Genomic DNA, 27,870 nt, shown 5'->3' with positions numbered 1-27,870 from the left:
AGTACTGGGTAAGGGAGGGCGTGGCCTCTGGCTAGGGCTCCACCCTCAGATCTGTGCCCATGGACCTAGGCGAGAACAGGCACTGCTGGTTCGTGCCCAAATGTTGCATTTCCCAAGACCACCCTGGCCTGCCACTCCCCCATCCTGTGCCTATAAAAACCCCGGAGACCCTCGCAGGAACACAGATAAGAGGTTGGATGTTGAGAGGAACACATTAGCAGAAGAAGACACAAGCAGCTGGACATTGAGAGGACATCGAGGGGAGCATGCCAGCGGAAAAGCACACTGACAGATGCCAGCATGCCAGCAGGCCATCGACCAGCAGAACGAGGTGGAGTTTGGCCAGGGTAGCTGGGGGAGAACCCGGTCCACCGAGCAGCCAGACTCCAGGGGAAAACCATCTTCCTTCTGGTTCCCGCATCTGCTGAGAGCTACTTTCACTCAATAAAACCTTGCATTCATTCTCCAAGCCCACGTGTGATCTGATTCTTCCGGTACACCAAGGCAAGAACCCTGGGATACAAAAGCCCTCTGTCCTTGAGATAGGGCAAGGGTCTAATTGAGCTAACACAAGCTGCCTACAGATGGCTAAACTAAAAGAGCACCCTGTAACACACACCCACTGGGGCTTCAGCTGTAAACATTCACCACTAGACACTACCATGGGGTCAGAGCCCCACAGCCTGCCTGTCTGTATGGTCCCCTAGAGGTTTGAGCAGTGGGGCACTGAAGAAGCGAGCCACACCCCCATTGCACGCCCTGCGAGGGGGACAAGGGAACTTTTCCCATTTCACTAAATGGTTATTTATATGATTATTTTGTAAATATATGGGATTTACATTTACATACATATATAAATGAATTTGCTGAATTATCTATGAAATTGATTTTGTTTTACCTATTCTAATATTGTTGGGTTTTATTGATTCAAAGAACTCTTTATATACGAATGCTATTAATCCTTTGGCATGAATGTTGCAAATGTTTTCCCTAGTTTATTGTTTGTTTGCTCTTTAATTTCTTACGACTTTTCGAAACATCTTGAAGTTTAAAAGTTTTATGTAAACTGAACTATTAGTATTTTCCTGTATGGTTTCCACCTTGGATACCATGCTTAGAAAAGCCCTTCCTCTAAGATTACAGAAATATTTTTTCCTACTACATACTGATTGATTTTCTTTTTGTTTCTCAAATAGGTACGTTTGCGGGAGCACATGGGTGAAAAGTATACAACTTACAGTGTGAAAGCTCGCCAGTTGAAATTTTTTGAAGAAAACATGAATTTTTGAGCATTTGTCCTAATCTGCTGCCAGAATTAAAGACCTATTTTTAGAGGATTTTGGCTTAAAAAGCAAGGGCAAACAGTCATTTGGAAGCCACTCACCACTGTTTTATATCTCTTTTTTATATCTCTTTGGCGTTTCCCTACAGAAAAGAAATTGGACAGAACAGAATAATATGAAGCAGGATCACAAAAGAAAAAAAACTTTGGCTTTCATATTCTCTTTGTGAGGACAAATCTGTTGTTTGTTTGATTACTGTTTACTGAGCCTTAATCCACCAAGTTTATATTTAGAATTTTATTTTTTTAAGGTACTAATTAACTTAAACACAGAGCTATAAAATGCTGGATTGAAAATTTTATATTGTAATGTAGAGATAAAAGCAGTAGGAGAAACAAATGACATAATATGTCGTCATAATTCCTGCTATTGTTAATAACCTTAAGGAGTAGTTGATAAATTATAAAATTTTAAAAAGTCAATTCAGTTCTAGAAATAGATTTAAAGAATATGAAGTTCTATCTAGTACTTGAGCAGCTGTATTTCTTTTCTACACATTGATGGACTTTTAATATTTTATTCTCATTTAATATAAACCTCATCTAGGGTATATACAAATTAAAACTGAGACACATTGGCTTTGTAAATCAGTATGTTTTTACATAATGGTTTTGTTAGATTTATTTTTCCATCAGTGAAAACATTTCTTAAACACAAATTTCATTTCCATTTAAGCAATTTGTAAGCAAAGTCCAGGTCCATTTAGTTTTTGGATATATTTAATGTTTGTCTCCTGAAGTTTGTCTTCATGTACTGTAAGATATTAGTTGTCTTTCCATGTTTTAAATGTATGATTATATAGCACATATTTTATTAGTTGTTTAATAAGAGGTAATACCCATCTAGGAAAGAAATTTTATGAAGTTAAATACAAGTCTTGAATAGTACATTTTCACTTCTGTATTCGAGGGACTCTAAAAATAAATATTGCTCCAGAAATGTTTTCAGGTGTTTTTTTTTTGAGACAGAGTTTCACTCTGTCAGTCAGGCTGGAGTGCAGTGGCATGATCTCAACTCACTGCAACCTCCACTTCTGGGGCTCAAGTGGTATTCCTGCCTGAGCCTCCCTAGTAGCTGAGACCACAGGCGTGTGCCACCACACCTGGCTAGTTTTTGTATTTTTTGTAGAGACAGGGTTACACCACATTGCCCAGGCTGATCTCAGAACTCCTGGGCTCAAGCAATCCACTCACCTCAGCCTCCCAAAGTGCCAGGATTACAGGAATGAGCCACTGTGCCCAGCCCTGTTTTCAGTTTCTATAACTAAAAATATATCTATCTTTGAAAATTACACACACACACAAATACTCTAATGAAATGTTCCCTTTACAGCCACTTAACAATTTTTTTTTTTTTTTAAGACACAGTCTTGCTCTGTCACCCAGGCTGAAGTGCAGTGGCCCAATCTCAGATCACTGCAAGCTCCGCCTCCCAGGTTCACTCCATTCTCCTACCTCATCCTCTCGAGTAGCTGGGACTACAGTTGCCCGCCACCATGCCCGGCTAATTTTTTTGTATTTTTTTAGTAGAGACAGGGTTTCACCGTGTTAGCCAGGATGGTCTCAATCTCCTGACCTCGTGATCTGCCCGCCTCGGCCTCCCAAAGTGCTGGGATTACAGGCGTGAGCCACCGCGCCCGGCACACTTAACAGATTTTTATTTAGAGTTTACTGTGTGCCAGGTTCTCTGCCAGGAGCTGGGGATATAGTGGTGAATAAAACAATACTTCCTGCCCTTTTACAGTGCTCACAGCCTGGTTTCTGATAACTCTTATTTTCACTTTGAAGGGTTTGCTAGAACTCAACTTGCAAAACCATCAAGTCCCAATGCCCAGTTGGGAACAAATCTTTGGCAAACTTGGTATCCTTGAGCTATTCACCTTTCCGTGCATGTTTTGGAAATCCACATCGTTCTGGAGAGTCATCAGTTTTACTTAATTTTTCTAATGTATTGGTATAAAGTAGGTATTTTATTAGAATTAAAGGAATCTCACCCATATCTTTTTTTTTTTTTTTTTTTTTTGAGACAGGGTCTTGCTCTGTCACCCAGCCTGGAGTGCAGTGAGGTGATCATAGCTCACTGCAGCCTTGACCTCCTGGGCTTAAGTGATCCTCCCACCTCAGCCCCTCAAGTAGCTAGGACCACAGGCATGCACCACCACACCTGGCTAATTTTTAAAATTTTTTGTGGAGAGGAAGTCTGTGTTGCCCAGGCTGGTCTCAAACTGCATTCAAGCAGTCCTCCTGCATCGGCCTCTGAAAGTGCTGGGATTATAGGCATGAACCACCACACCTGACTTCCCCCATACTTTCTTATTAATTACCATACTGTATATTTTTATTTTGTTTAAACATCTTTTCTTCCCACTTTTATCGTTTTTACTTGAGTGCTTAATTCATCTTCCTAAATTAATTTAAAAACTCATCTTTAAGACTGTGAATTTTCTTCCGAATATACCTTTGGCCACAGTTCAGAGACTTTGATGTGTTACTCTTTTGGCATTGGTTCTAAAATGTCAATCATTCTTTTTTTTTTTTTTTTGAGATGGAGTCTTCTTGTTGCCCAGGCTGGAGTACAGTGGTGCGATCTTGGCTCACTGCAGCCTACGCCTCCTGGGTTCAAGTTCCCCTCCCTCAGCCTCCCGAGTAGCTGGGATTACAGGCACACACCACCATGCCTGGCTGATTTTCGTTATTTTTAGTAGAGATGGAGTTTCACCATGTTGGCCAGGCTGGTCTTGAACTCCTGACCTCAGGTGATCTGCCTGCCTTGGCCTCCCTAAATGCTGGGATTACAGGCTTGAGGCACCATGCCTGGCCTAAAGTGTCAGTAATTCTGATTTCGGTTTTCTCTTTTAGAAGTTTTGATTTCCACAGACTTACAAAGCTAAGGAAGTTTTATGTCCTTGCTCTGGCTACACTGCAGTGTTACTGAATATCACCTGCACAACCTTTACTGCTTGCAGTTTTTTTTTTCCTGTTGCTTTGTACATGATCCGTTATTCAAATGGCCTTATAGGCATTCAATAAAGGTGAAATGTTAAATACAAAATCACTTGTCTATTAAATTTTATTCAAGGTTCTATATAAGATCTGATAAATGGAACTTTGTGATGGAAATGTTTTATATGGTAGCCACTAGTCACATATAGCTATTGAACCTTTGAATCATGGCTAGTTTTAGAGTTTTATATTTTAATTTTAATTAAATAGACGTGTCTAGTGGCACCATATTGTACAATGCAGTTCTCATTCAATAAATCTTAAGTACTTAACAATGCATCGTGTACTCTTCTATGTACTGGGTAGACAGCAGTGAGCAAAACAAAGTCCCCGTTCTCATGGAACTAATGTTCTAATGACAACTATTAATTACATACCATGAAATGTCTCAAACTCCTGGGCTCAAGTCATCCTCCTGCCTTAGCCTCCTCAAGTGCTGGGATTATAGGTGAGAGCCACTGCACCTGGCCAGAAGCACGAACTTCTAACTTAGGCTTTTATTAATTATCTTCCTTGCAGAATAATCAACAGAAGACCCTTTAGACAAAGAACTTGCACTATGAGGTTTAATTGGAAACATTAAAATGGTTAACTCATAATGAATTATAAAACTTTGATAGTTACATTGTACTATCATTTATGAGGCATTTATTTTTCATTATTTACACCTGAAAGAAACTTCATACTTGTGTGTTCTGTTCCCCATCTCAGAGCAAGATTATGAAGAGAAGGTCTAAACTACTTATATAAATCAAAACCCAACTGGGCTAGAAATGAAGTATAAAGAGAACTAAATCTATACACAGCTGTGCCATAAGAGCATTAGGTGGTTTTAGCTCTTATCTGGGGTATGAAAGCAATTTAGCTCATCTCACAGAAACAAAAGCAGGTGCTGAATCATGAAAACCTCAATTATTTTTAGCATGCCTCTTAATTTTTCTTTCCCCTGGTTTCTTGTCGTCTGTGCTTGATTCTTGAACAGGTAACCACTTGAGAGGATGCCGGCGATAGATGGGCCATGGAGGAAGTGTCAGCTGGGCCAGAAAAGAGGAAATGCATAAATTATAGCTATTAAAAGTTTAAAAAATCATTACGTATAATGCCAGGTTCCCAAATGACTCCTATGCTGAGGGAACAAAAAAACAAAAAAAAAAATCCATATTCCTATAAAGGCTCTGTGCCACCATCCATGCAAAATACTGTATGATGATGGGAACAGGCTCACTGCCTATACAAATGGCTTTAAGACCTAAAAGAAAGGTGGGGGCCAGGCGTGGTGGCTCTCGCCTGTAATCCAAGCACTCTGGGAGGCCAAGGTGGGCGGATTGCTTGAGACCAGCCTGGCCAACACAGTGAAGCCCTGTCTTTACTAAAAATACAAAAATTAGCTGGGTGTGGTGGTGGGCTCCTGTAGTCACAGCTACTCGGGAGGCTGAGGCAGGAAAATCTATTAAACCCGGGAGGCAGAAGGTGCAGTGAGCCGAAATCGCCCCAGTGCACTGCAGCCTGGGCAACAAGAGTGAAACTCCGTCTCAAAAAATTTAAATAAATAAATAAATAAAAGGTGAAGGGACAACGTGAGCACCATGAAAACTCCTGCTGGCTTTGACCTTAAGATTATTAGCCAGAGTAGCCGCCAAAGGAAATAAGCTGTGTCCTTTTATATAGTTCGCACCATCTGACACTATTTTGGCATTCTACTTTTCCAATGATAGCAAAGGGAAACGCTGTTTGGAAGGATGAGGGAAACGTTGGCTTTGGGTCTCACTACTGAGTAGGTCTAACCAAACCAACCCGACTCACAAAACCCAAGCTGCCACTAATACCCACAAATTTCTTACCAAACATGAAAAAGCAAATCCGGCCATAACTATATAGACAGTCCACCCGAACTGTTCAGCCACGTACCCGTAGATAAATCCAACTATCTAGAGACAAATGAAGTATATTAAACACACTCAAACTGAGGGTTGGGAGGGAGGCGGGGGCGGAGATTAAATGTAAAACCAATACTTACTGCAGAAAAAAGAATAATTCCCTGAAACATCTGTTCAGCTAGCTTCTGGCCCTTGTAATCCTGGGGTGAAGCAGAGGAAAAAAAGAATTGGTTCCACCGCCGAGAACATACAATTCCTGCCCTGACCTCACAACTCTGGCACAGGGTAACCCCAACATCAGGGTCTCCCGCTCTCCTAAGGGCCTGGGCAAGATATTAAATTCTGGGCTTCCCGGGAGGAACTGAAACACCCTCACGGAGAATGGACAGGAGATTCTCGCGGAGTAGAAGAGAAGGGGACCCAGGAGGCAATTCGGGAAAGAGGGTGGACGGTAACCATCCGGGCCCGGAACAGCGCAGCACCGGGTCGGTGCTCCAACATGGGCTTCGAAGCTGCCAGGCACAAGAACGGCGTGCAGAGGTCCCCGGGTTGCGCCCTCACCATCTGCGTGGGCAGCGAGCTCAGATGCTCCAGCATGGCTGGCTGAGGAGGCGGGCAGCTGAGCGCGGGTGGCAGGCTGCGAGGCGAGGGCGACCGAGACTTAAGGACCGTGAGGGGTAAGGTCTGGCACTGCGCGTCAGTAGCCGGGCCTTCTAAGCCCGGGAGAGCGATGGCGGCGGCCCCGGAAGCGGAAGTCTCCGACGGGCCGGTACAGCCCGTGTCCCCGCCCCGCGCCATCGCTAGGCGACGTGCGCTTTTGCCGCGCCGTGCTGCCCGCGAGGGCAGCTGAGGTGGTGGTGGCGGCCGCCTTGTCGAGGCATCGCGCGCCCGTGAAGTGTTCGCCGTCAGTGCTGTTGGGTGCCTGGAGCCGCGTCCCCCGTCCCGAAAACTGTCCTTGACAGTACTTGCGCGGCCCAACGGCCGCCGGCGCCCCCGCGTCTCCATGGCGACGGCCTTTTTCCCTGCGAGGACCCCGGCGGCAGGGCTGCCCCGCGGCGCCTGCTTGGCGCGACGCTCTAGCGGTTACCGCTGCGGGCTGGCTGGGCGTAGTGGGGCTGCGCGGCTGCCACGGAGCTAGAGGGCAAGTGTGCTCGGCCCAGCGTGCAGGGAACGCGGGCGGCCAGACAACGGGCTGGGCTCCGGGGCCTGCGGCGCGGGCGCTGAGCTGGCAGGGCGGGTCGGGGCGCGGGCTGCATCCGCATCTCCTCCATCGCCTGCAGTAAGGGCGGCCGCGGCGAGCCTTTGAGGGGAACGACTTGTCGGAGCCCTAACCAGGGGTATCTCTGAGCCTGGTGGGATCCCCGGAGCGTCACATCACTTTCCGATCACTTCAAAGTGTAAGGGGGGCCCTACTGACCCTTGGAATTTAGGGGGGCTACCCTAGGCGGCATCCACAACAGAGAGAATTCCCTTGGAGAGGGGACCCTGGTGCTCGGCTGTCCCTCTCATCCGCGTAGAAAGTCCCTCATCTGGGGGCTCCCGAACTCAGCCCTCTCACATTGTGGCCGGCTTTACTGACCCTCACAGACCCAGGCTGGGCCCTCCCGATAGAGGCCAGCCAAAGGTTCACTCAGCCTCTCTTTCAAGGCTGGTGTATCTCTAAATCTTAGACCCTCCTCCGTTACCGTCAGCCAGGTGGGATGCCCACGTTTTGGAGAGAAACCGTTCTGAGGAACCCGGGCCTCTGGGTCCCAGCTGGCTCTCCGGCCCCCAGGTTATGTATTCTGGGTTGGCCACAAACAGTGGAATTCTAGGCACTCCCGGGACAGGGTGGGACTGCTGTCCTCATTCATGCAACCAGCAAATATTCACGGCACCTTGTTTGTGCCAGACAGCAGACCGAGGACACGGTTGTTACCAAGACCAGGCTGTTGCCTTGGAAGAGCCCAGAGCGTGTCAAGGGAGACAGCCACATCACGCCAGAAATACATGACAGCTGGATTAGCCCTGGGAGAGGGAGGCCCAGATGTGGGAGCTCAGGGGAGGTGCAGCTCAACGTGGAGTTTGGAGGAGGCTACCTTGACCTTTGAATGCCAAGTGGGAGCCAGCCAGATGAAAGGGTAGGAGAAAGTGTTTGTATATCCTCAGTGCCCTTTCATCCTTGCACGTGGCAGAGACCAAACAGTAAAATGCAGACACGTTTGACACTTTTCTGACCTCAGAAGGACTCAGGACGTGTAGAAGGCAGAAAGAGGGATGGGCAAGAGTTTATTCCTGTTTCCTTCTCATGCTCTGTATTTCTTGGTGTGTTTGAAGAGACTTTCTGTTGTGTGTATAAATAGATATATCTCTGTGTGGTCTTTTTTTTTTTTTTTTTTTTTTTTTGAGGCGAAGACTCGCTCTGTTGCCCAGGCTGGAGTGCAGTGGTGCGATCGCGGCTCACTGCAACCTCCGCCTCCTGGGTTCAAGGGATTGTCCTGCCTCAGCCTTCTGAGTAGCTGGGATTACAGGCATGCGCCACCACGCCCGGCTAATTTTTGTGATTTTAGTGGAGACGGGGTTTCACTGTGTTGGCCAGACTAGTCTCAAACGCCTGACCTCAAGTGATCCACCCACCTCGGCCTTCCAAAGTGCTGGGATTACAGGCATGAGCCACCGCGCCCGGCCAGTGCGGTCTTTTTTTTTTGTATCCACAGTTTTGTATCCTTGGATTCAACCAACCACGGACTGAAATTACAGATACAGAGGGCTGACTGTAATATGCCATTTTACATAAGGGACTTGAGCATCCGTGAATTTTTGTATACATGGGGAGTCCTGGAGCCAATCCCCGACTGATACTGAGGACCAACTGTGTTGCTAATCAAATTGTACACAATTATATACTCTTACGAAAATGTAGTTAACTATTACAGATCCAGCGTCTGTGTGCAATTTCGTTTTGAGAATTCCTTCTAACCAGATCAGGAAAGCTCTCTTACCAGGAATAGCCCCAGGAAAGACAATATGGATTAGACGTACTCCATGATAACTGGCGTTTTGCATGTAGGTAACTGTGGAAGTTTTAGGAGCAACTGGTTTCTGCCTTGCCAGTCTACTTAAGTATGTCAGATACTTGATAGAATTGTGTTTTTCTTGTTTCCAGCCAAGTGTGCCTCTTGATCCCGTAACTGCTAACTGGAAGTCAAGAAACTAAAAACATTATCTCTTGTACCATTAATTAAGTGGGATTTATTTGAGTGCAAGATCGTTTTCTCAGTGGTGGTGGAAGTTGCCTCATCGCAGGCAGATGTTGGGGCTTTGTCCGAACAGCTCCCCTCTGCCAGCTTCTGTAGATAAGGTCAGCCCATAATGTGATAGAGGCATATGACTTAGGGTATATACTGATGTATATACTTCTCTTTTTTTTTTTTTTTTTTTGAGACAGAGTCTTACTCTGTTGCCCAGGCTGGAGTGCAGTGGCACGGTCTCAGCTCACTGCAACCTCCGCCTCCCGGGTTCAAGGGATTCTCTTGCCTCAGCCTCTCAAATAGCTGGGATTACAGGCACCTGCCACCATGCCTGGCTAATTTTTTGTATTTTTAGTAGAGATGGGGTTTCACCATCTTGGACAGGCTGGTCTCGAACTCCTGACCTCTTGATCCACCTGCCTTGGCCTCCCAAAGTGCTGGGATTACAGACGTGAGCCACGGCGCCCTGATGTATATGAGAAGAAGTTCACTGACACGTTGTACTTCATATATACTGCTTTGGAAAGGTGTGTGTGGGCTGGGCCTGGTGGCTCAGGCCTGTAATCCCAGCACTTTGGAAGGCCGAGGCAGGTGGATCACCTGAGGTCAGGAGTTCGAGACCAGCCTGGCCAACATGGTGAAACCCTCTCTCTATTAAAATTAGCTGGGCGTGGTGGCGCACACCTGTAGTCCCTGCTACTCGGGAGGTTGAGGCACAAGAATTGCTTGAATCTGAGAGGCAGAGGTTGCAGTGAGCCAAGACGGCACCACTGCACTGCAGCCTGGCTGACAGAGCCAGACTCTGTCTCGAAAAAAAAAAAAAAGGAAAGAAAGAAAGATGTGTATTTTCCCCCTAATTTGTAATCTGGCCTGTGATCCCATTTTTAAAAAAAATTTTTTTTAGATATGGGGTTGGGGGATGGTCATACTATGTTGCTCAGGCTGGTCTGGAACTCCTGGGCTCAGGCAGCCTCCCACCCCAGCCACCTGAATAGTTGGGATTATGGGTATCAGCCACAGTGCCTGGCTGATCCACAGTTTTTATTGCTTTTTATTTTTTATTTTTTTGAGACAGGGTGTCGCTTTGTCACCCAGGCTGGAGTGCAGTGGCATGAATATGGCTTACTGCAGCCTTGACCTCCCTGGCTCAGGGGATCCTCCTGCCTTAGCCTCCCAAATGCTTGGGACTACAGATGCACGTCACCATGCCTGGCTAATTTTTGTATATTTTGTAGAGATGAGCTTTCACAATGTTACCCAGGCTGGTCTTGAACTCCTCAGCTCAGGTGATCTGCCCGCGTTAGCCTTGTTGTTTTCATTTTGGGATTATAGGCATGAGCCACAGTGCCCAGCCCCCAATTTTTTAAACAGTTTTTCAACATATTTCTCTTCTTTACAAAGGCCTTGAGAAATTAAGTGCCTGGTAGGCACACAATTTTCCCAGGATGAAGTTAATTCAAACTTACTTTGTCTGTAGTCCCTGCTACTTGGGAGGCTGAGGCAGGAGGCTTGCTTGAGCCTAGGAGTTAGAGGCCAGCCTGGGCAACATGGTGAGACCCTGTCTAAAAAAACAAATGAACTAACTTGCATTGCAATACGCTATGTTTGAAAGTGCTTTGTAAAATTAATAGCCTTATGTAAGGGTTGGGTACTACTATGGGTGAAGATGAAGTAAGAAAGGGTTAAAAGGTAGGTTCACGATATCTTGGTTGGTAAAATGTCTTTAAGGAAACATTTTATCCAGAGCTTGTTGAAGGAATTTATTTTTTAAATAAATTTAGTTCCACCTACTATCTTGTTTCCACTGAATTGTTTTGAAAAAGTGAAGGTCAGATGAGCTGAGGAGGACCAACCAGGACATTGTGACAATTAGACACCACCTTCTTAAGAGATGAATAGCTAGCTAACAGAGATGGTTTTTGAGAATAGCACCTTAAATGTTTTTTTGGCCGGGCGTGGTGGCTCACGCCTGTAATCTCAGCACTTTGGGAGGCTGAGGTGGGCAGATCACGAAGTCAGGAGTTCGAGACCAGTCTGGCCAACATGGTGAAACCCCATCTCTACTAAAAATACAAAAATTAGCTGGGCGTGGTGGCGCACACCTGTAATCCCAACTATTGGGAAGGCTGAGGCGGGAGAATCGCTTGAATGCGGGAGGCAGAGGTTGCAGTGAGCTGAGATCATGCCGCTGCACTCCAGCCTGGACGACAGAACAAGACTCCGTTTCAAAAAATAATAAACTAAAATAAACCTTTTTTTTTTTTTGCTAGTTACAATGGCTAGAAATGTACTCCACACTTTTGATATCGATTGGATTTTGTGAATTTTTGTAGCTTTTTCTGTGCTGTGGGTTTGTCAAGTGAATTTGGATAATATTCTTTTCTCTGAGGACACTCATGTTAAAGGTGAATGGGATACAACTCTGAACAGGCATGTTTTTACTGATGAGGCTAAGACCTCAGGTTACTTGGTCATAGACAACGTGAATCCATGTCTACTTTAGGAATTTTAAGTAGAAACTTAATTATGTTATGTAATTTTTTATTTTAAAGACAGAGTCTCACTCTGTCGCCCAGGCTGGAGTGCAATGGCATGATCTCGGCTCACTGCAACCTCTGTTGCCCAGGTTCAAGCGATTCTCCTGCCTCAGCCTCCTGAGCAGCTGGGATTACAGGCCCCTGCCACTGCACCTGGCTAATTTTTTTGCAGTTTTTAGTAGAGACGAGGTTTCACCATCTTGGCCAGGCTGGTCTTGAACTCCTGACCTCATGATCCACCCCACTCGGCCTCCCAAAGTGCTGGGATTATAGGCCAGACCCTGCCTGGCTGAAACTTAATTCTTAAATGTTTCTTTTGCTTTTCATCTTGTGATGTATAATGTACAAGGCTAAGGCTGTTTCTCCAACTTATTTTTAAGTTTTTTATTAATGAGTACCACAAAAATTTCAGATCCCAAATTGGGTTCTTGGGAACTGTGAATTCAAAATGAGTTTCTGGCGGAATACTGTATATGCCTCTTGTTTCTTCCTGAATTAAAAAAAAAAAAAAAGTGTTAGGGCATTTTGATGTCCCTTCTCATGTGCTTACTGACTTTGGGGGCTTGTTTTTGTTTTGTAGGGTTAAAAACTAATATTTATATGACAGAAGAAAAAGATGTCATTCCGTAAAGGTATGCTCTTTCTACAAGTTAAGTTGTTTTTATACCTGGTCAAAGATAAAGAGGTATAACATAGGTTTTCCCTATCTATTTCAGTAAACATCATCATCTTGGTCCTGGCTGTTGCTCTCTTCTTACTGGTTTTGCACCATAACTTCCTCAGCTTGAGCAGTTTGTTAAGGAATGAGGTTACAGGTATGCGAGCACTTATTAATAATGCCTTAGAATCTGTTGCGGACCTGGTATTCTCTGTGTCACACATCCTAAGTTGTTCTTCTTCCGGTAGTACTAGCAGTTGTTTGTTAAGGGTTTGATCTGACAGAATATTCCTTTTCACCAAATCAGAGGCCTTAGGAGAGCCTCTGAGGGCTGCCATCTGTTCACATGTCAGCAGGACAGGGCTTCAGAAAGTGAGGGCATACCAGTGTCCTTGGTGTTTGATGCCTGCTCTAGTCACTAGAGTGTCAGTCTAGTTACTTTCCTTCAGCTGTGCAGCTGCATCAGTGGGACTGTAGCAATAAAAGTTTGTCAAGTGATTTTTAAAAATCACTGTGTTGTATAATATATCGCACAGTATATTGAATTAGTCGTTCATACTGTTCTCCCTTGGTACTGAGAAATGTTTGAGGCTTGAGTGTTTGTCAAAAATCATTTTTGGATTGCCACCCACCATAGCTGACCAGAGTGAGAGACTGTAATAGCTTTCCCCTGACTTTCACGGAGTGCTCTGATAGCATGTTTTATCACGTGTATATATGTATGATACATATAAAGTAATGCATGTTCCTGGTAGGAAAGTTTATAAAAAAGAGAACAGCGGCCGGGAGCAGTGGCTCATGCCTGTAATCCCAAAACTTTGGTAGGCCAAGGTGGGCGTCTCACAAGGTCAGAGATCGAGACCATCTCAGCACTTTGGGAGGCTGAGGTGGGCAGATCACGAGGTCAGGAGTACAAGACCAGCCTGGCCAACATGGTGAAACCCCGTCTCTACTAAAAATACAAAAATTAGCTGGGCGTGGTGGTATGCGCCTGTAGTCCCAGCTACTCGGGAGGCTGAGGCAGGAGAATCGCTTGAACCCAGGAGGCGGAGGTTGCAGTGAGCCAAGATCACGCCACTGCACTCCAGCCTGGTGACAGAGTGAGTCTTCGTCTCAAGAAAAAAAAAAAGAGACAACAGTATTTAAGCTCCATGAAGGCAATTTGTGTACTGTTTTATCTTCTGTGCCTATGGATGATGGCTGATACTAGCTGTTCAATAAATATTAGTTGGTTGAATGATTTCATTTACAATTTTGGCTTAGTACCTTCCAGTTTTTTCCTACACATCTTTTTTTCTGTACAGTTGAGATTGTACTATATATAAACTGTACATGACATGTTTTTCTGTATATCATGTCACTGTGATGGTAGAAACTCTTCATACATAATCTTAATGTCTATTAATTTGTTTCCACAGGATAACATCTTTTGCTACAACAGCTTTCAGACTTTTTGATGGCAGCCCTACAATAGGAAATACATTACATGTAGCACATGTACATACATGTGTATTTGCTTATTGGCTGTCTATCCTCAGAAAGTTAGGGATGTTTTATTCATGGCTGTAACCCCAGTGCCTAGATATTGCCTGGCACATAGTAAATACCAGGGTTCAATGAGGAATAAAAAAAAAAAAATGAAAGGCAAGAATGCATACAGGACAGTAATTGCAGTTTCCTTGTGTGATACACTATGTTTTCTTTGGTATTCTAATTCAGTTTTCTTTTTTTTTTTTTGAGATGGAGTTTTCCTATTGCTGCCCAGGCTGGAGTGCAGTGGTACAGTCTTGGCTCACTGCAACCTCCACCTCCCGAGTTCAAGCGATTCTCCTGCCTCAGTCTCCCAAGTAGCTGGGATTACAGGTGTTCACCACTACACCTGGCTCATTTTGTATTTTTAGTAGAGATGAGGTTTCACCATGTTGGTCAGGCTGGTCTCAAATTCCTGACCTCAAGTGATCCACCCGCCTCAGCCTCCCAAAGTGCTGGGATTACAGGCGTGACCTACCATGCCCGGCCTCTATTTCAGTTTTCTATTGCAATCCAGAAACTTTTTCTGTATAAATTGATTGTGACTCACTCAATTGGTTTCATGCCTACTTGTGATTCGTGACTTGAAAAACATTGATTTAGTTTGCTGCTAAGTTTTCACAATTTAAATAAAATTCTTTCTTTTGATTATATTTCAGATTTTGTCCTTAGGAAACTCTTGATACAAATTGCCATAATACATTCTAACAGGTTCTGTTATTTTCCTACCAGTAGTGTACCAAAGTGCTGTCAGTGTATTTTAAAAAATGCTTCCTCCACTTTTCCAAAAGCTTATTTACATACAGGGAAAGTTTCAGGGCTATATGCTTCAGTTTAATGGGGGAGAATGAGGTAGATCAGTACCATAATCCTTACCTTCCCTTTTTCCATGTCTTGGACTCTATATCAAAAGCCCATGAGATTGTAATCACAGTGCCTTCCTTGTGTTTTCAGATTCAGGAATTGTAGGGCCTCAACCTATAGACTTTGTCCCAAATGCTCTCCGACATGCAGTAGATGGGAGACAAGAGGAGATTCCTGTGGTCATCGCTGCATCTGAAGACAGGCTTGGGGGGGCCATTGCAGCTATAAACAGCATTCAGCACAACACTCGCTCCAATGTGATTTTCTACATTGTTACTCTCAACAATACAGCAGACCATCTCCGGTGAGCTCTGCTTATGTGATTCTGCTTCTAGAGGATGATTTAGAGCAGGCCAGCTGCCAATCCAGGATCTGTTTTTCTGTGGTTTGTATGTTGTTTTATACAATTGAAATTGTACCAGTGATAAACTGTACAAATGACATATTTTTTTTAGGACTGTATTATGAGCATATCCCCATAATAGGAGAAGTGATACAAGGAGCTCATGCCAGGAAGTAAGTCAGCTGTCACTCTGAACTGTTAACCCCACCTGATGGTGTTTTGATAATAATACTTTCTCAGTGAAGGGAGCAGTAAATGTTGATTTACAAGTCACAAGTTCCTTATTTCATGGACATGCTCGGAGCAGTTCTGGTCTAGAGTGGGAAGGGACTTAGCAACAATGGCAAGGTAGTGTTGTGATGCTGATCACAGATCCTGATCCAAATCCTGGCCCAGAGTGATCTGGGGAAACTTGGATAGTCTAATCCATTTTGAAAATGAATAAGACTTATAAAACTTACTCCAAATTTGTTGGTCTAACAAATTAACCAGTTGTCAAATTTCTGAAACATTTTGGTCCTTGTGGCCCTCTGCATGGTTCATATTTAGTTTTTAAAGCTGTAAATTCTGAACGCATTTAAAATACAGAAACAGAAGCTGTATAAAAATAGACTACAGAAATAACACTAAGTAGCCACAAAACACTGATTTGAAACTGACCTAGAAAAAATGTGCAGTACTCCTTTAGCAAACAGTTTTTTCTTACAGGTAGTGCCTCAGACTTGAGTGGTGGAATTAGGGTCACCACAGTTAAGAGTTGGATAGTCCAGGTGGTGATGAAATGTTCTTAATTCTATAGTTTTTCTAGAGTAGTTTTAGTGTTAGAAGATAATTACCATACAATCTTAATTCAGGGAGGGACTTTGGTGGGAATTACCCTCACTTCAGACGAGGAAACCAAAGCTCAGAGATAAAAGGAGCTTGAAAACACCTATTTGGTCCATAGGGTTTCTTTTGCATTATTCCCTCATTGGTTTGGAGACATTATTTGAAACTAAAATGTAGTGTTTTATCTTCATCAGGTCCTGGCTCAACAGTGATTCCCTGAAAAGCATCAGATACAAAATTGTCAATTTTGACCCTAAACTTTTGGAAGGAAAAGTAAAGGAGGATCCTGACCAGGGGGAATCCATGAAACCTGTGAGTTCCATGCATCCTTCTTTGCACTTGGCAGTATTAGGAAATAATGGAATACCTGGGTATCTGTGGGTATAGTGCAAGTAGTTTCCTGGGGACCAAGCCTGGGTGGTTCTAAGAGTCCTTTCTTCTCCTGAATGGGTACTGAAAGCATCCTAGGAGTTTCTGTGTAAATAAAAGCACAGCTAGTGCGGTATCCTATGCCAATTATTCTTTCCTTTTCCAGTTAACCTTTGCAAGGTTCTACTTGCCAATTCTGGTTCCCAGCGCAAAGAAGGCCATATACATGGATGATGATGTAATTGTGCAAGGTATCAAAAATGTCACCATGAGTGCTGTTCTCCACCCAGATTGGGTACAATTGCTAAATAAAACAATGGGCTACAGTGGGCTGTAGTGGTTTATTTATGGTCTTCTATAAAAGGTCACCATAGGGAGAAGTGGGAGTAACAGGGAACTCTCAAGGCAACGGAAATGTAAATCTTAACATCTTGTCTATTTCAGGTGATATTCTTGCCCTTTACAATACAGCACTGAAGCCAGGACATGCAGCTGCATTTTCAGAAGATTGTGATTCAGCCTCTACTAAAGTTGTCATCCGTGGAGCAGGAAACCAGGTAAATTGCTTACCAAACACCCCTCTTCCTACAATATTGTTTAATGGGAAGAGGTTGCAAATTCAGGGAACTCTTTTGCTGCAATTTACACTCCCCAATCATTTCATCCCAAAACTCAAGCCTGCTTTTCTGTAGACTTCTTCATGGACTTGACAGCCTAATTGTTCTTGAACATCTGGTTTATTATGTCAACATCTAGGTTCCTATTCTAACTTGGAATTTCAAATATTTATTTTCTAATCTGAAGAAGTCAGTTTAACAGCTCTTCTCTCTACTGGCTATAAAATTGTATCTATTTTGTTTGAAGCAGTAAGTACATATATCCTATTTGTGTTTTTAGTACAATTACATTGGCTATCTTGACTATAAAAAGGAAAGAATTCGTAAGCTTTCCATGAAAGCCAGCACTTGCTCATTTAATCCTGGAGTTTTTGTTGCAAACCTGACGGAATGGAAACGACAGAATATAACTAACCAACTGGAAAAATGGATGAAACTCAATGTAGAGTAAGTATGTAACTGGCCTAGCTGTGAAAAACTGTTGTATTTCAATTCCTAGAGTCTTGACTAACAGGAGTTAGTCAGTACTTTTCACTAACAAACATTTGTTTTCTGTCCCACCAAGAGAGGGACTGTATAGCAGAACCCTGGCTGGTAGCATCACAACACCTCCTCTGCTTATCGTATTTTATCAACAGCACTCTACCATCGATCCTATGTGGAATGTCCGCCACCTTGGTAAGTAGAATTAACCAGTGGCATAAGCTAGTAAAGAATTGGTATCTAAAGAACTATCCTCAGGGATGGGGTATATTCTTTGTTTCCCTTAAGTAAGTTTTCTGCACAATTTCACATGGCGCAACGATGTGGCTATTTTTGTCTCAAATGTAAGGTTCCAGTGCTGGAAAACGATATTCACCTCAGTTTGTAAAGGCTGCCAAGTTACTCCATTGGAATGGACATTTGAAGCCATGGGGAAGGACTGCTTCATATACTGATGTTTGGGAAAAATGGTATATTCCAGACCCAACAGGCAAATTCAACCTAATCCGAAGATATACCGAGATCTCAAACATAAAGTGAAACAGAATTTGAACTGTAAGCAAGCATTTCTCAGGAAGTCCTGGAAGATAGCATGCGTGGGAAGTAACAGTTGCTAGGCTTCAATGCCTATCGGTAGCAAGCCATGGAAAAAGATGTGTCAGCTAGGTAAAGATGACAAACTGCCCTGTCTGGCAGTCAGCTTCCCAGACAGACTATAGACTATAAATATGTCTCCATCTGCCTTACCAAGTGTTTTCTTACTACAATGCTGAATGACTGGAAAGAAGAACTGATATGGCTAGTTCAGCTAGCTGGTACAGATAATTCAAAACTGCTGTTGGTTTTAATTTTGTAACCTGTGGCCTGATCTGTAAATAAAACTTACATTTTTCAATAGGTATCTTCTTTTTTTATTCCAGATAACTACTTCCACTCACAATGAGATGAATTGTCTTTTTACAGAATTTAGGGATTCCAAGTTGCCTGGTTTTAATATAATACATATTCACAAAATTTACACAGCTCATGCATACCATAACTTATACAGAGAACAGTTTAGCAGTCTGCTTAAAATGTTAAAAAAAAAATCATAAAAAGCCATTGTTCTGTTACACATAATCTGTACTGAAGTCATAAGCATCATCCTCTTCAATGATTTTATCCAAGATAAAAGACCTTGTAGACTGTTCACCTATATTGCAGGAAAATAAAGAGATTTTCAAAAAGTAAAAGTGATTCTATACCATGCTGCTTCGTTAGAACCCCTTTTGCCTGCCTCACCTGCTGTAGTCTCCTCAGACAGTGCCTCCCCTGTCTCTTCTGCAGCAAACATGCCTGAGCTGTTTTCCTGTGTGACAAAGAAAAATAGTGCTGGATTAGTAGCCCTTGTCTGCTCATTTAATCCAAGTAGTTATGTACCTGAAAAATTAACTCTTTGGAGGTACATATAACGGGATGTGCAAAATTAAGGCTAATGGATCACAAGCCTCAAATATTTCCTATCTTCAGTTCCTTCCATTATGTATTATAATGCTAGAAAACTCACTTCAGTTTTAACTCATGGAGGACACACTTACATCAACTTCTTCATCAACAGTTTCCTGGTCACTGTCTTTGTCATCCTCCCTCTCCTCCTGCTTCCTTTCTTTCCGTTTTGGCAATTCTTCATGTATGTCCTTTTCTTCTATTATTCCATTTGTCAGACCGGAAGACTGGAAAAGGATGCTATTGGCCAAATGAGGGCCCTTGATGGCTGGGAAAGAAAGCAAGCCCATGTAAACAGGTAAGAGCTCCACTGGCCTGTCAGCTGATGAAGACAGCAGCGACACACAATTCTCACCTCTTATGCTCTGTGCATTGTTCTTTTCCAGTTCTTCCAGATTGAAGCCGCTTTTCATGTCTACCACAATACTCTCATTAAAATATGGAGGAGGAGTCCAAGATGTAGGGGGATGGCAATAGTAAGCTAATGAGGCACTGATATTAAAAATAAGATGTGTCAAAAGAAGGTTTATTCTAGTGGTCACCAAAATGCCAACAGAAAAGAAAGCTTACCCTGTCCACTCAGACCACAGCAGTTTGGCAGCACCTTCAACATTTGGGATTCCACCTTTTTGGTGCATACCTCTTCTCTGAGCAAGCACAGTAAAAAATTCCAGAGAATTCCTGTAGCCTGGGACAGTATATTTCAGTACTACCTTAAAAAAAAAACCAAACAAAGGAGCTGTCCTTCATCTGACATGCCAGTACTTTAAAACACTTCCAAGATTTTTCTACTCAAAATGCTTATGATGAAAGAAGATGGCTCCAAGGAGCTCATGAGAAGGGGTCCTTTTACCTGTCGAGCATCAGCCTGGGAAAGGATGGCACTGGCAGCCTCCATCGGTTTTACTACTTCAATACTTGCTGGACTTCGCAGAGCAAGCGCAGAGGAGGAATTAAGTGGAGATACGATGAAGCTCGGACTATCTATGATTGTGATCTGTTTGTCCAAGGGGACAACTTGCATGCTCCTGAAAGAAGAGCGATGGAATTGATGGGGGCATTGGTCTATTTGGAGGTTAAGAGACAGAACATGAAGCTCAGGGTTGGATTGAACAGACTCAGCACAGTCAGTCAGATCCAGTTTATCATCATTTGCTTCACATTTATCTAAAACTGTAACAGCATACCCGACTGTTCTAAAGAGAACACTACATGTTATAGCTTATATATTTACATCAACCAAAACACATGCTATTTCCTTTGCTATAAATATGCCACCTTCTGGCTGGGCGCGGTGGCTCACGCCTGTAATCCCAGCACTTTGGGAGGCCGAGGTGGGTGGATCACCTGAGGTCAGGAGTTTGAGACCAGCCTGGCCAACATGATGAAAGCCCTGTCTCTACTAAAAATACAAAAATTAGCCGGGTGCCTTTGATCCCAGCTACTCAGGAGGCTGAGGTTGCAGTGAGCCAAGATAGCACCACTGTACTCCAGCCTGGGAGACAGACTCCATCTCCCAAAAAAAAAAAATCTAAAAGTTGGCCAGGCACAGTGGCTCATGCCACCCAACACAAGTGTAATCCCAACACTTTGTGAGGCCTAGGCGGGTGGATGACTTAAGGCCAGGAGTTTGAGGCTAGCCTGGCCAACAGTGAAACCCCATCTCTATTAAAAATACAAAAACTAGCCAGGTGTGGTGGCAGACTTCTATCTGGCAAATTTCTATTAATTTCTCAAGGCCAGGTTCAAACATCACTTCCTCTGAGGGAGCTTTCCTCTCTCTCAATCTATCTGCTGAACTTGTCTTTCAAACTAAATTGTGGGCAGCTGTCCCACTCCAATCAGTTCTAGCACTGGCTTAAATCTCTGCTTTCACCAAAAGCTTTAAAAAATAAAAATAGGCCGGGCGCGGTGGCTTGGCCTGTAACCCCAGCACTTTGGGAGGCCGAGGCGGGCAGATCAGCTGAAGTCAGGAGTTTGAGACCAGCCTAACCAACATGGAGAAACCCGTCTCTATTAAAAATACAAAATTAGCCGGGCGTGGGGGCACATGCCTGTAATCCCAGCTACTCTGGAGGCTGAGGCAGGAGAATCACTTGAACCTGAGAGGTGGAGGTTGCAGTGAGCCGAGATTGCGCCATTGCCCTCCAGCCTGGGAACAAGAGTGAAACTGTCTCAAAAAAAAAAAAAAAAAAAATCACCTTCCTTGAGATAACCAAAATAAAATAGTGTGTCACTATAATATTACAATTATGGACACCTCCATTTACCTTGTAAGCCCCATGGATACACCAACATTACACATCTGTTCTTGTTTTAAGCTATTGATAATGCTGCTTTTCCCCACATTTGGGAAACCTACAAATAAATGGGAAATCCAGATATAAAAAGCATTATATGTTGGCACTTATGAAATTTTCACTGCCTAATTTTCCATTTCCCTGATGTTTAGGGCAAGATCAGAGTTGGATCTCAGTGTCTTCACTTCAATACTAAGACCAATTTTAGTTTCTTCATTTCTTGCACAAGTAATGCAAAGGCAGGAAAATACTATAAATTCAAACAAACCAAGAACTTTTAGAAACCAGCTTCCTACAGTAATCAGTCCCAACAAAAAACCTGAATCTGGCAGCAGTTGTGTAAGTTTTTTTCTTTAAATTGTGTGTGGTTATGTGCTTTCAGTAAGGTATAAGCAAGAAGCTAGTATTTGAGTGAGCCTTTTACTTGACAACAACTCCATACACTGCTGCTTGGGCACTTGGAGAGCTGGCTAAACTTCTTAACTATTTCAACACTTAAAAAGTAAAAAGTAATGAACTGAAACTCACCAATTACTCCAACCCGAATGGCTTTGCTGCAAGTTTCCTGAAAACCTCCAAGAAGTTTCCAAAGGCCCTCTTTCCCAAAGCAGACTTCACTTCTGAATGGAGCAGCATTCTTCTTTGCCTTCACACGCTAAAATTCCAAATAGTTGAATTATTCTGGCAACTTACCTGATAAATTTCAACAAACCCCAAGCAATCAGGCTCCAGAGCCCAGCTCTTAAGATAACTACATTGCCTTTCAGATGATCTCTGGCTGAAATCAGAGTTGGATCTTGTAATTTTTCATTCACTTAAATCAAGATTTTGTACACTCATCATATTTCAACCAAAATCTGAAAGAATCACATTTCTTACCACTAATAAAGGATACCTTGGTTATCTTCCCTTTATCCTTTGGTTTTGTTGAGGCTCTGAACACCACTGTTGGCAATTCTTTCTTCAAATAATTTAGCCAGCTCTCCAAATTCTCCTTTGGTACCAGATCTGATAGCAATTAGAAATAAGACATTTGCGGCCAGGCACGGTGGCTCACGCCTGTAATCCCAGCACTTTGGGAGGCCGAGACAGGCGGATCACGAGTTCAGGAGATCAAGACCATCCTGGCTAACACGATAAAACCCCGTCTCTACTAAAAATACAAAAAAATTAGCTGGGCGTGGTGGTGGGCACCTGTAGTCCCAGCTACTCGGGAGGCTGAGGCAGGAGAACGGCGTGAACCCGGGAGGTGGAGCTTGCAGTGAGCTGAGATGGCGCCACTGCACTCCAGCCTGGGTGACACAGCAAGCCTCCATCTCAAAAAGAAAAAAAGAAAAAGACATTTGCTCCAATGTGGCTATTTTGTTGAGATGCATTTGCAAAATCTGGCAACTATAGATTTTACTCTGGTTTACATTTTCCCAGTCCTTTCAAAAGGATTTAACTAGAAAATCAGGGCAGGGTAAGCTCCCCTACCATACTGCCCGTATCTTAACAGAGCTCAGCATCTGCACTTCTCTATTTCAATTCCCCTTGTATTGCTCACTTGAAAACTTCAGGACAGACTCAACGTCTGGATTACAACCCTACTAACCCTAGAGCTATGTTTCCAGAATTTACCTTTAGCTAGCAGCCAATTGTTTCTTCATTTTTGAGACGAAGTGTTGTTGCCCAGGCTGGAGTGCAGTGGCACAGTATCGGCTCACTGCAACCTCCGCCTCCCGGGTTCAAGCAATTCTCCTGCCTCAGCCTTCCGAGTAGCTGGGACTACAAGTGCCCATCATCATGCCCGGCTAATATTTGTATTTTAGTAGAGATGGGGTTTCGCCGTGTTGGCCAGGCTTTTCTCGAACTCCTGGCCTCAAGTGATGTGCCCACTTCAGCCTCCCAAGCAGCCAATTGTTTCTTAACCCCAACAACAATTTTAGATCTCATTCCCATTTTCTGCTTTGTAATTCTCTGTTCTGGGTTTTCTTTTTCCTGCTGCTCAAACTCAGATGCATAATTATGCATTTCATTTAAATATTTTGTCACATACGTTCCAATTTATTTCACTCTTGAACTAATACCCGACATTGTGTAGGTGTGGGGAATTTGTCACACTGTCATCACTTCCTAGATGAAATATACTACACAATAAGCTGGGTATAGCAGCTTACACTCTTTATTTAAAAGATGGTAAATACTGAATGGCAAAAGAATAGTAGAAACCAGTTGAGTCAGTTGTAAAAGTCACCTGGCTCCCCACTGCCTAGCACTGTCTCTGGCAAAGTGCACGTACTCTGGCTTTGCTGAGATCAGAGTTGGATCTAATCAGTCTTCAGTGACTATCAGACTGTTTCCTCGTACCTCACCCATGTACACAGAAGACAAAGGGTACCCTCTTTACTCACCTGATTTATTTAATATAAGTACCAGCTTTTTCTGTCCACTCTGGACAATGGCCTCTTCTACCTGAGGACATCTGCAACCAAGAGGATCTCTGGCATCCAACACCTCTAGGACAACATCGGAGGCTTCAATCACCTATCAAGGAAAAAATGACCAGAACTACATTATCAAGGAGAAAATGATCAGAACTACATCCCTTGTTCTGGTAATACCTTCCACAAGAGAGTACTGGCATTATCCATTTAGCAACAGGGTGAGCTCAGAGTTGGATCTCATGTCTTCACTTTGGTATGAAGAATGTTGACCCTCATCATTTCTCACACAGGAAAGTAAAACATAGGCTTGCTCAGCAGTCTCTGATCAAGATGGATTTCAAAAATGCAAATATCCCTGTCTGAATCCTCCCATAGTGAATTATATAGTTTGATAGGTCCTTCTGGCCTTGCCAAAAGCTGCTGAGGGGCAGTCAGGTTCTATCCATGGGGGAGTGAGCTTGGGAAAATGGATGTTGGGGATGGGAGTGCTGGAGAGCAACTACACCAAGTTGTCCTCCTTCACTTAGGTTTCAACAGAGTACTTTAGAGACCTTTAGCCTGACACTGCTTACTCCAATGTACCTTTCTCAATCTCAACACTATGTCAACGTTTTTTTTTAATGTTGTAAATCATGCTTACAGGCAGAACCAGTTTTGTGCAAATATTTAGAACCAAAGAAACTATTTCCGTCAGGTAAACATAGCAGGAAAGGCATTAAACAGCATAAGCTAGAGTCGAGTCACGAAATGATTTGTTGGTGAAAAGGTGGGAGGAGGGAGAGGATCAGGAAAGATAACTAATGTCGTACTAGGCTTAATACCTGGGTGATGAAATAATCTGTACAGCAAACCCCTATGACGCAAGTTTACCCATATAACAAACCTGCACATGCACCCTTCATCTTAAAAGGTTAAAAAAAAAATGACTTGAGTCTTTTAAACCTCATTACTACTGTCAGACACTGACCTAGGCTAAGATACCTTTTTAAGTTCTTGGCAGTACAGCTTCTTTGAATTCTGTTTGCCCGACTTGGCTTTGTTCTCAGTTTTGCAAAGCCCAAACTCCTAGAGGATAAAGGGGGAAATAACACAAAATTAGAAGTAGAGCAACTGTAACCTCTAACTCCATTTTCCACAGCTGAGTAGCAGCCCTTGCAGTTGTTAAATAGGTAAGATGGAGTCTGAACTCAGTTGTCTTCCTCCCAAGAAGCTCAGCAGCCTGTGGATGTGCTTTTATTTCTGCATCAGAACTCATCTCTCAGCCAGGCACAACAGCCCACACCTGTAATACCAGAAACTTCGGGAGGCTGAGTTGGGTGGATCACTTGAGACCAGCCTTGGCAATATAGTGAAAGCCCGTGTCTGCTAAAAAAAATTAGCCAGGCGTGATGGTGTGCTTCTGTAGTCCCAGCTACTTGGAGACTGAGGTGGTAAGACTGCTTGAGCCTGGGTGGTCCAGGTTGCAGTGAGTTGTGATTGTGCCACTGCACTCAGGCCCAAGCAAAAAAACCAAAATCAAAACCCCTGATCTCTCATTCATAAAGAGACCTAATCATACCTTTTCCATAGGTTCCACATTTGATGGCTTAATATCAGGATTAGTTTCAAGTTTTCTTTTCTTTTCTAGTTCCTTCTGCCTGTCAAGTTTCTGCTGCTGTTTTAGTTCTTCAAGCTGTCAGAGCCATAAGGGAAATAGGTGAACCAGTGACTAGTGTTGTTACCTTACTCTGAAAAATATCACACATAACACACTACACCACTCAATGAAAATTCTGGCTAACATAACTTACCCTCTGTTTCCTTAGCTCAGCTTCCCTAAGAAGAGCCTCCTTAAAGGGAGCACTGTTTGGAACTCCTGGGTCTTTCCTAGGCTTCTTGTGACCCCGCTTTTTAGCCTCCTTTCTTAATTTTCGATGATGTTCTCGAACCTATTAAAATAAAGAGATTTTGTCTGCTTACAAAAATATCTTTATACTTAAGCAGAATTCAAGTGAGAAACCAATCTGGCTGCAATTTAGTTATGCCTATAAAATGTCCTAGGAAAATGGAGCTTTAATTGGAATCTTACAAAGTAATGCATATGTAAGTATAAAACAGCAAGAAATTGTAACTAGAAGGCTCTCTATGCAGAGATTAACATGCTGAACAAATTTAGAGACTTATCACCAAATCACTGCACTTTCTCACAGCTGCACTCCTGATGCCTAAGAGCTTGTGCCCATGGTCAGTCTATCCAATGCCATTTCCCAAAACCAAATCACATTAACCCAGACTTTCCCGCAAAGGAACAGGGCAAAATCAGTTTAGCAATGTGTTTGGTACAGCTCTCTCAAGCACTACACTTACCTTTTTTTGGATTTTATACCGCTTATGGCAGGTCATGCGTTTACTTGCTTTCTTTAACTCTACAAAGAAACACATCACAAATCTGTTAACCCAAATGATTAGTTCTGGGTTAACGCACTATGGAGTTATATCCTTTTCTTGTGTTATTGGCTACCAAACCTAACGTTAAGTCTAATGCGAAATGCCTAATGCAAACATACGTGCTACTTTCAAATCCCAGAGAATTAAATTCAGTAGATCCAGAATGGAGTCAAAATTCCCTGCACTTACCCTCACAATATTAGAATGGGATCATACACAACAGCGTATGAGACACAAAACGACAACCACTTCGTGTCAAACAGCACGAATCATAAGGCAGGAGAGGAACACTGAGTCTGGGAGGCGATTCTCAGCTCTCACCTGGGCCAGTCTGCACGTGGCCACGGAAAGAAAATATTGGGCCTCAAACCTGGCTCAGACGCTGCTTCCTTACGAAAATCTAGCCTAGTCTTCCCCACCCTCTGCCCGGCTTCGTTCCGCAGAATGAGCCCGCGCGGTTAACATGATCGCCGTAGGGACTTCCAACTCTCGGTTCTACCAGGAAATAGGGCCAAGGCCTACGCGTAGGCTCCCACCCCCATACCAGCAGAGACAAAGCCGTAGCCGTAGAAGAGCGTCGTGGTGGCTGCAGCAACTTCCAGACGTGGGTCCCTCCACGCCCGCCTCCCGACCCCACTTACTAGGCCTTTTCATATTGGCTGTAGAAGGAAGCACAAACACATCAACCTGCCTCCGCTGGCGCCACGTGTGAACTGAAGCCACTGACGAGCGTCACGCACTTACGCTGCCGCCGTAAAGTGCGTCACCGCCTCTCTGCGTGCGCGGGCACGCAGTGTCGCGCGGAGCAGGGATCGCTTGGCGGCCGCGGGACTGGTTTTGCGGCGGCACCGGGAGGGGTAAGGGAGGTGAGGGCGGCGGGTGCCGAAGCGACGGCAGCGGCCGCGGCCGGAGGAGCAATAGCAGCAGCCGTGGCGGCCACGGGGCGGGGCGCGGCGGTCGGTGACCGCGGCCGGGGCTGCAGGCGGCGGAGCGGCTGGGTAAGGCCGGGCCCAGGGCGGGTGGGGCCGCTCCCCCTTGGTCAGCTGCCGGGCCTTTGTGTGGGCCCGGGCGGGCGGGAGCCGCGGCGGAAGCCCCGCCCCGGCCGTGGGGACGCGCGGGTCGGGCCGGGCGCGCGGGGTTGGGCGGGGCGCGGCGGCTGGCCTCCGGATGGGCCCAGTAGCCTTGTCGCACCTGCCGGCAGGGACAAAGGCGCACTACGGGTCGGAAACTCCCCGCGCTCCTCTTTCCCGCTCGTCGCGGGGCAGCTTCAAAGCTGTCAACGTTTCCCTCAGTCCCCAATACCAGTGACAGGTCGGGAAAGTCCTTCATTTCCTCCGTTGCTCAGGGCCTCTTTTTTTTGTTGTGGTTTCTTGACGGTTCGACACAAACTCTTAGTGATTTTCTTTCCGTATTTTTTCCGGGTATTTTAATCAATGGGACTTGTATTTATAGTAGAGGCCAGATATTTCAGCTTCTCAACACCACAAAGAATCCGGGATTTTGGGAACTGTGTATATTTCTTGGTTTGGGGAAGCACAGTTTTGTTATTAT

The 27,870-nt window shown here is 44.1% G+C and overlaps 5 protein-coding genes and 5 non-coding genes across 198 annotated transcripts in view, besides 8 other annotated features; 3 read left to right on the top strand and 7 right to left on the bottom strand.

The window, feature by feature from the left end:
- Window positions 1-4,622, top strand: part of NEK4 (NIMA related kinase 4) — a 62,497-nt gene extending 57,875 nt beyond the window's left edge. For all 4 annotated transcript variants that reach the window (NM_001193533.3, NM_001348414.2, NM_001348412.2 and 1 more), the window contains one exon: window positions 1,197-4,622. In NM_001193533.3, coding sequence (NP_001180462.1) covers window positions 1,197-1,289 — 93 coding nt within the window. In that variant the 3' untranslated portion in view covers window positions 1,290-4,622. The remainder of the gene's footprint in view (window positions 1-1,196) is intronic.
- SPCS1 (signal peptidase complex subunit 1) lies at window positions 1,918-6,960 on the bottom strand. Its single transcript, NM_014041.5, has 4 exons — window positions 6,784-6,960; window positions 6,363-6,422; window positions 6,187-6,273; window positions 1,918-5,379 (listed from the first exon to the last, which is right to left on the bottom strand). Exons 1-4 carry the CDS (start codon window positions 6,817-6,819, stop codon window positions 5,254-5,256), a joined length of 309 nt encoding a protein of 102 aa, NP_054760.4. The 5' UTR covers window positions 6,820-6,960; the 3' UTR covers window positions 1,918-5,253.
- Window positions 5,103-5,192: a silencer, noted in NCBI's record as "silent region_14452". NCBI's record gives its function as "represses an Ori minimal core promoter by ATAC-STARR-seq in GM12878 lymphoblastoid cells {active_cell/tissue: GM12878}" and the evidence as "EXISTENCE:reporter gene assay evidence [ECO:0000049][PMID:35858748]".
- Window positions 5,363-5,432: an enhancer, noted in NCBI's record as "active region_19946". NCBI's record gives its function as "activates an Ori minimal core promoter by ATAC-STARR-seq in GM12878 lymphoblastoid cells {active_cell/tissue: GM12878}" and the evidence as "EXISTENCE:reporter gene assay evidence [ECO:0000049][PMID:35858748]".
- Window positions 7,275-18,580, top strand: GLT8D1 (glycosyltransferase 8 domain containing 1). Of its 14 annotated transcripts, XM_047448566.1 has the most exons (13): window positions 7,275-7,619; window positions 8,114-8,342; window positions 9,138-9,267; window positions 9,368-9,562; window positions 12,570-12,621; window positions 12,706-12,804; window positions 15,132-15,345; window positions 16,407-16,524; window positions 16,748-16,832; window positions 17,026-17,138; window positions 17,479-17,645; window positions 17,764-17,876; window positions 18,031-18,580. In XM_047448566.1, exons 5-13 carry the CDS (start codon window positions 12,606-12,608, stop codon window positions 18,219-18,221), a joined length of 1,116 nt encoding a protein of 371 aa, XP_047304522.1. In that variant the 5' UTR covers window positions 7,275-7,619; window positions 8,114-8,342; window positions 9,138-9,267; window positions 9,368-9,562; window positions 12,570-12,605; the 3' UTR covers window positions 18,222-18,580. The 14 variants fall into 14 exon arrangements, with proteins under 14 accessions (XP_047304522.1, XP_047304528.1, XP_047304524.1 ...); XM_047448572.1 differs by lacking the exon at window positions 8,114-8,342; XM_047448568.1 differs by lacking the exon at window positions 9,138-9,267 and having other exon boundaries at window positions 8,118-8,342.
- Window positions 7,379-7,548: a silencer, noted in NCBI's record as "silent region_14451". NCBI's record gives its function as "represses an Ori minimal core promoter by ATAC-STARR-seq in GM12878 lymphoblastoid cells {active_cell/tissue: GM12878}" and the evidence as "EXISTENCE:reporter gene assay evidence [ECO:0000049][PMID:35858748]".
- GNL3 (G protein nucleolar 3) lies at window positions 18,569-27,146 on the bottom strand. Of its 3 annotated transcripts, none has more exons than NM_206826.1 (15): window positions 27,011-27,146; window positions 26,239-26,297; window positions 25,683-25,820; window positions 25,451-25,564; window positions 24,874-24,957; window positions 23,860-23,992; window positions 22,362-22,474; window positions 21,995-22,121; window positions 21,437-21,524; window positions 20,020-20,194; window positions 19,737-19,879; window positions 19,522-19,658; window positions 19,259-19,434; window positions 18,963-19,029; window positions 18,569-18,873 (listed from the first exon to the last, which is right to left on the bottom strand). In NM_206826.1, exons 2-15 carry the CDS (start codon window positions 26,272-26,274, stop codon window positions 18,791-18,793), a joined length of 1,614 nt encoding a protein of 537 aa, NP_996562.1. In that variant the 5' UTR covers window positions 26,275-26,297; window positions 27,011-27,146; the 3' UTR covers window positions 18,569-18,790. The 3 variants fall into 3 exon arrangements, with proteins under 3 accessions (NP_996562.1, NP_996561.1, NP_055181.3); NM_206825.2 differs by having other exon boundaries at window positions 26,864-27,034; NM_014366.5 differs by having other exon boundaries at window positions 26,961-27,034.
- SNORD69 (small nucleolar RNA, C/D box 69) lies at window positions 20,254-20,330 on the bottom strand. Its single transcript, NR_003057.1, has one exon. It is a non-coding gene; the product is annotated as a small nucleolar RNA, C/D box 69 (small nucleolar RNA).
- On the bottom strand, window positions 21,622-21,688 carry SNORD19C (small nucleolar RNA, C/D box 19C). The gene has a single exon (NR_145744.1). It is a non-coding gene; the product is annotated as a small nucleolar RNA, C/D box 19C (small nucleolar RNA).
- SNORD19B (small nucleolar RNA, C/D box 19B) lies at window positions 22,236-22,328 on the bottom strand. Its single transcript, NR_003687.1, has one exon. It is a non-coding gene; the product is annotated as a small nucleolar RNA, C/D box 19B (small nucleolar RNA).
- Window positions 23,751-23,826, bottom strand: SNORD19 (small nucleolar RNA, C/D box 19). The gene has a single exon (NR_003047.1). It is a non-coding gene; the product is annotated as a small nucleolar RNA, C/D box 19 (small nucleolar RNA).
- SNORD136 (small nucleolar RNA, C/D box 136) lies at window positions 24,033-24,179 on the bottom strand. Its single transcript, NR_132757.1, has one exon. It is a non-coding gene; the product is annotated as a small nucleolar RNA, C/D box 136 (small nucleolar RNA).
- Window positions 26,807-26,876: an enhancer, noted in NCBI's record as "active region_19945". NCBI's record gives its function as "activates an Ori minimal core promoter by ATAC-STARR-seq in GM12878 lymphoblastoid cells {active_cell/tissue: GM12878}" and the evidence as "EXISTENCE:reporter gene assay evidence [ECO:0000049][PMID:35858748]".
- Window positions 26,871-27,559: an enhancer, noted in NCBI's record as "H3K27ac hESC enhancer chr3:52719523-52720211 (GRCh37/hg19 assembly coordinates)". NCBI's record gives its function as "activates a minimal SCP1, AML or CMV promoter by ChIP-STARR-seq in primed H9 embryonic stem cells {active_cell/tissue: H9 hESC(primed)}" and the evidence as "EXISTENCE:reporter gene assay evidence [ECO:0000049][PMID:30033119]".
- Window positions 26,871-27,566: a biological region, named in NCBI's record as "H3K27ac hESC enhancer GRCh37_chr3:52719523-52720211".
- Window positions 27,153-27,870, top strand: part of PBRM1 (polybromo 1) — a 140,547-nt gene continuing 139,829 nt past the window's right edge. For 129 of the 171 annotated variants that reach the window (NR_175959.1, NR_174502.1, NM_001394874.1 and 126 more), the window contains exon 1: window positions 27,153-27,317. The gene's annotated coding sequence lies outside the window, so the exon portion shown is untranslated. Of the gene's footprint in view, window positions 27,318-27,466; window positions 27,631-27,870 lie in introns of those variants that run through there. The other 42 variants (NM_001405629.1, NM_001405631.1, NM_001405642.1 and 39 more) reach the window with 2 other exon arrangements.
- Window positions 27,197-27,346: a silencer, noted in NCBI's record as "silent region_14450". NCBI's record gives its function as "represses an Ori minimal core promoter by ATAC-STARR-seq in GM12878 lymphoblastoid cells {active_cell/tissue: GM12878}" and the evidence as "EXISTENCE:reporter gene assay evidence [ECO:0000049][PMID:35858748]".
- Window positions 27,417-27,566: a silencer, noted in NCBI's record as "silent region_14449". NCBI's record gives its function as "represses an Ori minimal core promoter by ATAC-STARR-seq in GM12878 lymphoblastoid cells {active_cell/tissue: GM12878}" and the evidence as "EXISTENCE:reporter gene assay evidence [ECO:0000049][PMID:35858748]".

Source organism: Homo sapiens, chromosome 3, assembly GCF_000001405.40.
Source record: "Homo sapiens chromosome 3, GRCh38.p14 Primary Assembly".
NCBI classification, from domain to species: Eukaryota; Metazoa; Chordata; class Mammalia; order Primates; family Hominidae; genus Homo; species Homo sapiens.
Note: the sequence above shows the minus strand (reverse complement) of the source record. Positions and strands in the feature narration are given on the sequence as shown.

What these genes read in the sequence shown, in the direction of transcription:
- GNL3 (NM_014366.5), bottom strand. An exon ending in ACTGCCAAGAACTTAAAAAG is followed by an intron (nt 23,993 to 24,873) that starts GTATCTTAGCCT and finishes TTTCCTTGATAG; the next exon opens with GTGATTGAAGCCTCCGATGT. An exon ending in CAATGCACAGAGCATAAGAG is followed by an intron (nt 19,435 to 19,521) that starts GTGAGAATTGTG and finishes TTTCTTTCCCAG; the next exon opens with CCATCAAGGGCCCTCATTTG.
- GLT8D1 (XM_047448569.1), top strand. An exon ending in GTTAAGGAATGAGGTTACAG is followed by an intron (nt 12,805 to 15,131) that starts GTATGCGAGCAC and finishes TTGTGTTTTCAG; the next exon opens with ATTCAGGAATTGTAGGGCCT. An exon ending in AATACAGCAGACCATCTCCG is followed by an intron (nt 15,346 to 16,406) that starts GTGAGCTCTGCT and finishes TATCTTCATCAG; the next exon opens with GTCCTGGCTCAACAGTGATT.
- SPCS1 (NM_014041.5), bottom strand. Translation starts at nt 6,819, where the DNA reads ATGCTGGAGCATCTGAGCTCGCTGCCCACGCAGATG. An exon ending in GCTCGCTGCCCACGCAGATG is followed by an intron (nt 6,423 to 6,783) that starts GTGAGGGCGCAA and finishes GCTTCACCCCAG; the next exon opens with GATTACAAGGGCCAGAAGCT. An exon ending in GATTTGCTTTTTCATGTTTG is followed by an intron (nt 5,380 to 6,186) that starts GTAAGAAATTTG and finishes TTTCTGGCCCAG; the next exon opens with CTGACACTTCCTCCATGGCC.